The sequence below is a fragment of the Homo sapiens genome, chromosome 12, assembly GCF_000001405.40.
Source record: "Homo sapiens chromosome 12, GRCh38.p14 Primary Assembly".
Taxonomy (NCBI): domain Eukaryota; kingdom Metazoa; phylum Chordata; class Mammalia; order Primates; family Hominidae; genus Homo; species Homo sapiens.
In genome coordinates this window covers 128150596-128161919 of record NC_000012.12, presented here as the reverse complement: position 1 = coordinate 128161919, position 11324 = coordinate 128150596, and the positions used below count along the sequence as shown (strand labels likewise).

General features: G+C 44.1%; 1 annotated feature.

The window, feature by feature from the left end:
- Window positions 2909-3562: an enhancer, noted in NCBI's record as "OCT4-NANOG hESC enhancer chr12:128642903-128643556 (GRCh37/hg19 assembly coordinates)". NCBI's record gives its function as "activates a minimal SCP1, AML or CMV promoter by ChIP-STARR-seq in primed H9 embryonic stem cells {active_cell/tissue: H9 hESC(primed)}" and the evidence as "EXISTENCE:reporter gene assay evidence [ECO:0000049][PMID:30033119]".

Sequence of the window (11324 nt, the reverse complement as noted above, 5' to 3'; positions counted from 1 at the left end):
ATCTCCTCTGACTGCACCTTCACAGACACACCCAGAAATCATGTGTGACCAAATATCTGGGCACCCCATGGCCCCGTCAGATTGACGTATAGCATGAAGCATTGTAGGTTGCTTCTCAGGAGCTCCTTCTGGGCCCCCTGGCTCTGGTGCCCTTGGTCTGGGTCTGTCCTGAGCCCACTCTCACTGTTGTGTCCCTGTCCCATGACAGCCCTCACCTCGAGGTGTGACAGATGCCCACTGCTCCACCAACACCTGCTCCTCCCTTGTCACAAGGAGTGTTCACTGCTGCGTCCTCAGCTCACAGCACAGTGCCTGGCACACAGTAGGTGCTCACTGTATACCCATTGAGTAAATGACTTTCCTTTAATGATCACAATAATTCTATATGGTGAGTGCTATTCGTCTCTTCCATTTAGAAGAAAATTGTTTGCAGCTGTTCGTCCTAACCTGCCCAAGATACATGGTAGTTTCCAAAACTGGCCTGACCTTCAGCATCACATTAAGATTCCATCAATGTGCCTATTCCTGGGCTCCGCCCTAGCCCTAATGAATCAGAGCCTCCAGGGTGGAGGCTGGCATTTGTACTTTTAACAACACCGTTAAACAATTCTTTTCGTAAGGAAGTTTGGGAAGTTTCGCTTAGCACTCAAGTCTGCAGAGGCAAGATGCTTATCAAATTAATTTCCCTGGTCTTTGTTCAAGCTAAAATGAATCAGCCATCTCTTCAGTGAGTATTAACCTCTGACTGAAAGACTCTCTCTCTCTGTTTTCGCCTTCTGCTCACTTCACCCATTAAAAAAAATGCATCAGAGATAGACTGTTTATCGCTCATCACCCACTCGGAGCTACAGGCCGAGATTCAAGGAGACCAGAGAGAAAAAAAATAAGTCTGTGATCGTCAGTGTTCCCTTTTCGAGAGACACAAAATAATAACTGATAAAATTAGTTTGGAGTCCTTCAGATTGCAAGGACTCGATTTATATAATATTAAATTAGCCATTATAATCAACTTTGGTGGTGTCTGCCCTCGCTATGGGAGGTCAAAGGCACTCAGAATGAAATTAGAAGATCTCCTAGCATCTGGAATTGGGTTCCTGGGGAGGTAATGTGGACGAGCATTTATCTTACAAAAATCATGTGGTCTCCAGAATCCTCCTACTCCCTGGACCCAAAATGACTCAAGCAGACGACAAAATCTGGTCACCAAGCTTCACCCCCCAAACTTCCTGGGGACTTAGAGCAGAAACAGTTATCTTGTGAAACTTGGAAGCACACTGAACACTCTGACATTGTTCAAATTGGCCAGCTTTTCCTCTCTTCTTAAGCCCAGAGACTTCAGATGACCTGGCTAGTTTGCAAGTAAAAATGCAAAAGAATATTTCCTCTCTCATTTTGCTTGGGGTTGGCTTTAGAATCAGCTGTCATGTGGAAGGTACTTGGCAGCTCAGCGTGATCTGCTCACAGGCTGGGAGCATCCACGGATCTCTCCCTCCCTGGCCCTTCTGACCTACAATGGCCATGGGAGAAGGTGGATTTATTACCTCGGGGTATGAACAGCAGAGACGGATGCTGGGTTTCCCCGAGACACCTAATATCGCTCTCTGTGATGGGCAGCTGATCCCCTCTAAACAGGATCCTAAATTATAAATCACAGTAGCAGAAAATTTCAGTGGTAGAAAAATTTTCCCCCAAGAAAAATTACTGGACTTAAGCTGCACGTCCATAGGCACCAAAAAATAAATAAGCACAAGAAAAACTGAGATGCAGTGAAAAAGTAGAGGTTGAGAGAACTGGGGGATATTTTGTAATTTGTCATGGTTTGGCAACATTCGAATCTTTTATATTTTTAAATATCACATGTATTCATCTTCCATATTCATCTCTCTGTCTATATATATCATATATATGTGATATATATGATATATATGTGTGCGTATATATGTTCGCTCCTGTATCTATATCTATATATTCCTTGTTTGCTTGTGTGAGCCGTGTATGGTTTGGAGTGTGTGTAATGAGATGGATGGAGATATATATATATATATAGAGAGAGAGAGAGAGAGAGAGAGAACATATATACACCCACATATATCACATGTATCTCACACACACACACACACACACACATACATATATATATATATAGTAGGCAGAGGATACACACATACGTTTATTCCTTAGCTCTGGCCATCTAACAAAGGCACCTCAGGTGCAATGCATGCACCTAGAGCCCATATCTTGGTCTTTAAAATCATTCATACCAAAAGGAACCAGGACTCCAGAAAGAAATGGCTGATTCCAGGGTTGGGACACAGTGGAGATAAGATGAATTTGGAGCATACTTAATACAAAAAAGTAAGAAAGTGCCCCCCCAAAATGATGGGGACATGTCACAAGTATACAGCAGTCATTTTAAAAGGCCAAATCTGGGAAAATTTGAGATGTGCTATAAGTATAGAACACACAACACATTTCAAAGACTTAGTACAAAATAAAGGTAAAGTATCTCTAATTTTTCTCTTCATTTCATGTTGAAATGATAATATTTTGGATATATTCAGTGAAATAAATTAGCAACATTAAAAATATATATGTATATTTGCGTTGTAATATATGCATGTGGCAACTAATTAAATCTAAGGTTATGATGAAATTCAAAAGTCGTCATTCCACCCTCTTCAAGTTCACATCTGTGCTTCTGCAGCCTCTTTTAGACTTTGGAGCTTTTGATTCTTCTGGCGGGTGTTTTCCTCCAGGACACTATAATATGCTTATAATGCTATTTCTATATTTACTGACTTTATAAAACATTTGTTTTCTCTTCTATGAAGGATGAGATTTTTTTTCCATTCACAAATCTCTTCCTCCTCCTTCAGCTTCCAAGGATAGTTAGTGGTATGATTCTTCTACTGGTATTTTTTGTAATTTTAATAAGATGCTAAGGCTTCCATTCACTTGCTCCATCAGCTCTTGTCAGGAATGTGCCCCTATGGGAGGGCACAATAGCAGAGCTCCCACCTTCTTCTCTTCTTTTCTTCCCCACTGGGACTAGCTCCCACTTTCTACAAGCCACAGTTTTATAGTTTCAAGGTTATTAACATTTATATCCCATTCTATAAATATAAGTGCAGCTTTAGTGCTTTGTGCAGATTCTTAGAACAGAAACACATCAAACAGGATTGACTTGAGTATAAAGTGGTATCCGCCTTACAAGTTTATGAGGATTAAGCGAGACAATGGATGCAAACTGCTGAGCACAAGTTCTCTTCAGTACATTCTATCTGCTTGATCAATAGAAGCTATTAGCAAGCATTAGCAAGCTAGAAACTTTCCTGAATAAGCTGATGCTGAAGCCAACATAAAATTTAAACCTGTCTTTCTTCATCACCAGGAGTAAGTGGTGATTCTCATCACTCCAATGTTTAAGATTTATCTTCACCGCTGCACCTTGTTTGCTTGTGTGAAACGTGTATTATTTGGAGTGCGTGTAATGAGATGGGGAAAACGGTATTCTCTCAACAGCTGGTCCTAGAATGCCTCTGCAGTGGTTGTGAAACTTAGCACATCAAATCAACTGTGAAAGAAATATAAACTTTCTTTATTTTTATACAATTCAACATCTATTTTAAGCTCCTGTGTCCAGAATGGCAGAAAAACTTAGTCAATTTAGGATTTTGCCATGTTTTCTTTTATGAGATTGTGTCTTAGGATATTTACATAGTGGCGAGGTGTGTGTGTGCACGTGTACTCCTGTGTGTGTGTGTGTCCTGGAAGCCTCTGCCCATGACAGTATTCACTGAGAATCTACGTCTCTTCATGCCCATGATTATCATGTCACTGGGGAGTTTATGCTCCTTTTGATTATCTTTAGATTCAGCAACTCTCTTTGGGTTTCTCTACTTTTGAGTTTTTCTGGTTTGCTTGGAAATTGATTCCTTTCAGAAATCTACAAGGGACTGTCCCAGAACCCACCTACTTTGCTACCTTCGACAGGTGCGGGGGCCATCCTGCTGATGTACGGCCCTGCTGCAGAAAATTCTGGGAAGTTATCTCAGAACTATTTGCCAAGACATTGGTCACTGGAGTCTTACCAGCTTCCTGGACTCTATTTAGATACTAGGCTAAGTTCCTATTTGTCCCCACATTCTGCAAACAAGTACACATTGTTTTGATTCTCCCCATCATAAACTGGAGTAGAAGCAAAGGGAAGGCAGAACGCAAAACTCTCTCCTTACATGGACAGACGTCAAAGCTCTTTGCTCATTCTCAAACTGTACTCCAACTCCTCCACTTAGGGAATCTTCATGTCTTAGAATAAGGAATCTTGTTGGAATCCCCATAATCTTTCTAGCAACCAGCTTCCACGTTGCTCCTTAATGCTTTAAGACAAATACAACAAAGGCACGATAACTGAGCAGAGATGCCAGAGCAGCCAGCACAGATCCAGGCTGTTCGCCATGCTTGAACACACCAGCCTCCATGGCCTCTACCCATGGCCCTTGGGCAAGGCTTTTGAGCTTTTCCATCCTTTTCTCTGTAACATCAATATTCTGAGGCAAGATAGTGCCATATTGTAAGGCCACTGAAATGTGAGAGAGGCTAAGGAGTAACACAAAATATAGAACAAATAAACTAGTTTAGCTTACCACCCGTCCTCCTAGGGAGAGGCCAGCACTTGTTAGAATATTTTGACAAGCTTGTTTTTGGAGAAGACTGAGCTTCCCTGGCCTGGGTATTGTCTTACATGACAGCTTGAGAAGAAGAAGAAGTCTACCTGGAATAAGGAAAACAACCACTCACTGTGTGCCAAACGTTTCTAAGTAGTTTACATGTATACATTCATTTAATCTTTACAACAATGCTTAGGTCCTAACACTTGCCATAGGTCCTGATATTTCTCAATTATTACAGGTAAATAAACTAAAGCAGGAGGGGTTTGAATAACTTCCCAGGGCCACATAGAAAGGAAATAATAGAGATTTACATTCTGCTGGTCTGACTTCTTTGCCTAACTGCTGTATCAGTCAGTATCCCCTATTGACATATCTTAAGAGTTTATATTTTCATCATGCTTCTTGTCCATTGCAGGTCAATAGGAGCCTTTGTTTAGCTTCGTTCTCCTCCTTCTATCTAAGCTGATGGAGCAGACACCACCTTGAACATTAGCAGTCATTGCAGAAGAGGGGAAGAGCTCCAAAGGGTCTGCAACTGACAATGAAATGACCTATCTCAGAAGCAATCATCATCACTCCTCATCACAACCCATTGGCCAGAAGTAGTCTCATGGCCTTTACTCTACCACAAGGGAGCAGGATATGCCTGGGAGAGAGAACTGGAAATGCCACCCCCATGTGCCCTTGCATGGTCACCATGCTGGGAAAGAAGTCCCAAGGGCACATGAGGGTGGCGGCAGAAAAGAGGAAGAAGAAAACTGATATAGGCCGGACATGGTGGCTTACGCCTGTAATCCCAGCACTTTGGGGGGCCCAGGCGGGCAGATCATCTGAGGTCAGGAGTTCGAGACCAGCCTGACCAACATGGCAAAACCCTGTCTCTACTAAAAATACAAAATTAGTCAGGCGTGGTGGTGTGCGCCTGTAATCCCAGCTACTTGGGAGGCTGAGGCAGAAGAATCACTTGAACCTGGGAGGCAGAAGTGGCAGTGAGCCGAGATCACACCACTGCACTCCAGCCTGGGTGACAGAGTGAAACTCTGTCTCAAAAAAAAAAAAAAAAAAGAAAGAAAAGAAAAGAAAAGAAAAAAGAAGAAAGAAAACTGATATAAGGTGATATAAGGCAGTGTGCATGGTTACAGGAACTTGCTCCAAGGTACACTAAATTTTCAATAAAGTCTATCAAAAAAGAACAAGATGAGTGAGATTAACTCTACTGTGGAAACCAGGAAAGATGAGTTTGGCATCCTGAACAATGTGACCCTCAGGTATGTCAGCCCACATCGACGCGGAGCTGGCTGGCCTGGAGGCTTCTGCTTCTTTGCTGGAACAGCCTTTGTTTTGTGGGAGATCTACTTCTTGCAAAGCATAAGTGGACACATGTTCCTGGGAGGCCAGGGGGGTGCTTATTGCCTCTTCACAACCATCTGTTCCAGAAGCCCCCTGAGCAGGCCACAGAAGACCACACATATCAGCAAAGCCAACACAGCTGGAAACCAACAGATTGTCTGGAAGGGATTTCTCCAAGGGAAAACTCAAATTGCACAGATCTCTGTCCAAAGGCAATGCTTATGGATTCTGCCCTGTTCCAGTCATTCCCTTACATAGATACTCTGTGTGGTCAGTTCTCATTCATCAAAGGATGCCTGTGCTGATTCTTAACGATGTGCAAATGTCAGAGGAGAAAATGCACATGTTTCAGCAGAGGGTCCAGAGTGATGCCAATCGCTGTTTCTGTAGATTCCTCCAGAGAATGCTCTCCTCTTAGTTTGGAGTGAATGGTGTTCGTGTCCACATAGTGCAATACTCTCCTTAGACAACCTCATTTCTCTGTGGCCAGGTATGCTAAAAGGAAATGCTACTTGAGAAAGTGCCATTCATCAGAAACTGGCCTCCAGGCTCAGGTTTAGGTTAATGTAAAGAATATTGAAGGATCTCAGAGACAGTTGAAGCAAACAAAAGAAACCCAACTTGTACCAATCAGTATCTCAGAAGGAAACAGATGACACAAACAGATTGAAGTGAGTTCAAGTAAGGGACTATGTGCAAAGATGTGGCTAGGCTTGAGGGGATCAGTGAGATGGGGTAAAGCATCCAGGGTTTACCTCCCCTGGCCTGGAGGGGCAAGGGGGAGAGCAGGCACCAGTGCCTGAGGGAGGCACAGCCCTGGAAAAGGTGACTGGCAGACACTGTGGCCTTCCTTAGTGGCACACAGACTCTGCAGAAACATGCATCTGACAGCAGGAGTGAATGCTCCCACCTCTCTCCATCCATCCTCTGATCTGCTACTGGTGAGAGCTGAGATCCACTTCTTATTAGATCCACACACTAGAAGGAGGACAAGGGATTCTGGGAGATGAATAAACAGCCCCCAGGGAACAGAGCCAAGTGGAGAGCGGTGGAGAGAGGATACCCTAAGGGGAAAACACAGAATCTCCTCCTCACACTCCAAGGACTAATTCATTCCATCTAGAAAGTGCGACTCCATCCAAGGTGAGTTACAAGTTCTTCTTGGTTCCGTTTTAAGCTCTAGGAACTTCTCAACTTTTATTAGCCACTAAGTCTGTAATTGTATAAATGGAAATGAGAGTAAACCAGCAAGATGAGTAAAAAGAGAGGAGTGGAGTTAGCTATAGAAAAATGGCTAGAGAAATGCTAACACACGTCAGAAGACACTCAGCTTGTGGACTTGAGTTCTATGCCGCAGGCAGGTATGAATACGGCGCTCCGATGGCTCTGTGGGTTTCTTTCTTATTTCAGTAATTCAGAGCAGGGCTTACACTGTTTACTACAGTGAATATTTCACAGTCTAATTGTTCATAATAGAAGGAAAAGGGTCCTATGTCCAGAAGCTTTGGTGATAGAATGGTTCACGAAAGGGCCTGACCCATCAGAACAGGAAAGATGGTGAGAAAAAAGAGAGATTTTATTATCTTTAGGCTCAAAGCACACAGCCCAGCATGGTGGCTTTCCAGATAAACCCTCAGATGGCTGAGAGGCACTAGACAAGGCAGACCCAGCATGAGTCCAGTGCTGACGCCAGGGGATGAAAACTCAATTTTCAGAAGCCAGAAAGGCAAGTAAATATTGGAAGGTTTAAACTGGGGGACTGTGTTAGATTGGATTATGTGTATCCTATCTAGAGGCATTTCAAGCCACATAGTCTTAAATCCTGTAACAGCCCCATGAAGAATATTAGGCCAAATTTAGGTAACACTAGTGACTTTTGTCTTAGTCCTGTCTGGGGGCCAGTGCCACCAAAGCACAGAGAAGCAGCGTCTCTGTCATCCTCAATGGGATTCACAGCCCCCAAACCCTTAGAGGCAGACATCCAAAGCCTCTGCAAGATTCCTGGCTGTGCCAGACATGGACGCTGCCTTTAATCTCAATGAAACCACTGCTCAGAGGCACCAGCATGTGAGGTAATAGGAGAAAAATGCACAGTAAATTGCAAGGGTCCCTATGTATTAATACATCTCACATTGAAAACCCAGGGGAGGGAGAAACCCTAACGTTTGTGGGGTTGGCTACAAGCTTTATGGCGGAAGTGGAAAGGGCGAGCAACATGGCTAAGGGGGACCCTATCTCCTGTGCTCCGAGTCTTCATTTCCAACCCCCTCATAGGCATTCATGGTCAACTCCAACATGAGGGACCTGGTGGAGCTTAACTTCCTTCACCAACCTCATTATCTTCCTGATCTCATTACTGGGTCACCACCTTGATCATTGGTCCCCATCTTCCCAGGCTCCTAAACAGAAGACAGTGGGGCTGATATGGTTTGGATGTGTGTACCCTCCAAATCTCATGTTGAAATGTGGTCCCCAGTGTTGGAGGTGGGGCCTGGTGGGAGGTCCTTTGGTCATAATACTGGATCCCTCATGAATAGCTTGGTGCTGTCCTTGTGATCATGGTGAGTTCTTGCTCTGAGTTCACATGAGGTCTGGTGGTCTAACAGAGCCTGACACCTCCCCTGCTCTTGTTCCTGCTCTGGCCATGTGATGTGCTGCTCCCCCTTTGCCTTCTGCCATGATTGAAAGCTTCCTGAGGCCTCATCAGAAGCTGAGCAGATGCCAGCACCATGCTTCCTGTACAGCCTGCAGAATCATGAGCCAATTAACCCTCTTTTATTTGTAAATTACCCAATCTCAGGTATTTCTTTATAGCAACACAAATGGCCTAACCCAGGGGCACCTTGGTGGATCCCTCTGCACACCTGATTGGCCATTACAGCCTGGCATTCAGCTGCTTCTTCTTCTTCTTCTTCTCCTTTTTTTGAGATGGAGTCTCGCCCTGTGACCCAGGCTGGAGTACAGTAGCATGATCTCAGCTCACTGTAACCTCTGCCTCCCTGGTTCAAGCCTCCCAAGTAGCTGGGATTACAGGCATTCACCATTACACCTGGCTAATTTTTGTATTTTTAGTAGAGATGGGGTTTCACCATGTTGGCCAGGCTGGTCTCCAACTTCTGGCCTCAAGTGATCCACCCACCTCTGCCTCCAAAAGTGCTGGGATTATAGGTGTGAGCCATTGTGTCCAGCCTGGTATTCAGCTTCTAAAATGTCTCCTCAATCATTCTTTTTCGCTTGCCTCCCCGATTGTGGAAAGGTCTAATCAGCTATATGCCTTCACTCTCTCTTACCCTTATTGGTTCATTAGAGGACCACTTGAGTTATGTCTCAAAATGTGTATCTCAAAATTACCAAGAGAATAAGTTCAAATGTTCTCACCATTAAGAATAAATATATGAGGTGATGGATATATTAATTAGCTTGGTTTAATTATTCCACAATATGTACTTATATCAAAATATCACATTGTGTCCCATAATATATACAATTATTATTTGTCAATTAAAAAATAATCTGATCGTATGGCTTCTTCCTGTTCAAGAGCCATGAAAGGTCTCCTGTTATTCACACAGAGAAGCCCTGATTTCTCAGCATGTACCACCACATCCACTGAAATCTGCCCTCATCTTCCTCTCCATCTCTCCTCCTTTCCCTGCTTCATCTGTCCTGGTCCTCATGGAGATAACTGAGGTTTCCTTAACTCTCTGTGCAGTTTCACATGCTATTCTTTATGCTGTGATTGCAACACCCGTGCGCTTGGCTCAAACTGCCTGGGCTTGAAGCTGAGCTGCTCCTCCTGCCAGGGAGGTGATCTCTGGGGAGTTATGGGACCCCTCCCAGACTCAGGCTTCATCTGTCAAATGGGGATGACGAGGCATCCATCCCACCCACAGGGCTGCGGTGGAGATGAGTGAGCTAAAGCATGAAGGGTGCAGTATGCGGCACGTTGTAAGCATTCAACATATTGTAGTTGTTACTATGATTTGAATGTGCCTCATATCTGCAGGTTCAGAAACTCCTCCAAATACTGGCTTCTCTATAAAGCCCACCCTGATGTCTGATTCCTGAATCCCAGCTAGCTCCTTCTCCTGACTCAGCAACCTGTACCATCACTGAAGTTCTTCTGCCAGTTGCCCTGGTAATACAGTGCATCAGACCTGTCCGTCTCCCGAGGTAGACTCCAGTTAGCTATGCGAAGGCAGGTGCGCTCTCTTTTAGTTTGTGTTCCCAGTGCTTGGAAAAGGACCTGGAAATTGTGGGCCCTCATAAACGATGGTGTTTAACAGATGAAGGTTGCTTTGAGTTTAATGTAGTTGAAGGGTTTTTAACTGAGGATACACGCTGAGCTCAGCTAGGCTTTTAGAACTTCAGAGATGGGCAGAAACTTGAGCAGATTTCCTTACTTTATAGGTAAAGACCTAAGTCTCTGAAAGTCACAGAGGTGGGGCAGAGGGAGAGATGCAAGCAGTTGGGCATCATGATTCAGACAACGTGGAGGCAGGAGTTTCGGAGTCAGACACACCTGGATCTGGGGCTGACCTCTGGCACTAGCTTTGGACCCTGGGCAATACTTGACCTCCAAGCCTCACTTTCTCAGTTTGTAAAATGGGAATAATAATAGAACTTAAAGTGATTGTTTTGCTATTTCGTGGCGCTACTGTAAGCAAAGTGCTTAACATCCTGCTTGGCAGATAGCAAGCGTTCAACAAGTGTTGGCTGTATCAGTCGGGAGGAAGCATTCCATTTTGGAGGGGAAGAAAAGAGTTGGAACCAGAGAGTGAATCACAAAATCCAGTTTCAGTTAACAGGAAATGGAGTCTGAACTCCAGCTGGTGGAAGGTAAGTCCCAAACCATTTGCAGCAGAATCTTGTGAATTGCTGTGCTATATATATATATATATATATGTTGTTGTTGTTTGTTTGCCTGTTCGTTTGTTTTTCCCAAGGCTCTACTCTGAAACTTTGGAATCAGAACTTCACAACTTGTCGGGGAAGTACAGTAATTGGCAAATTTGATGAGTGCGCCTGACCATTTTGTTGGATACTATAAGAGCAATTGCTCAAGGCATTGCACAAGCTGGGGGGATATATTTGCAGGAGTGCATTGGGAACCAAGCCCCACTTTCCTGGGTCTCAGACAGAGGAACTGAAGGATGCATGTAATCCAGTGCCAAATTCCAGATGCTGAAATGAAATCAGAATTGCAGGAATCCAAGGGAAGAGGAATAAGGATGACCCATGTCCCAGAGCACCTGGTCCTGTGCATCTTGTCCTGAGTGCTCGGCTAGGAGTGAAGCTCCC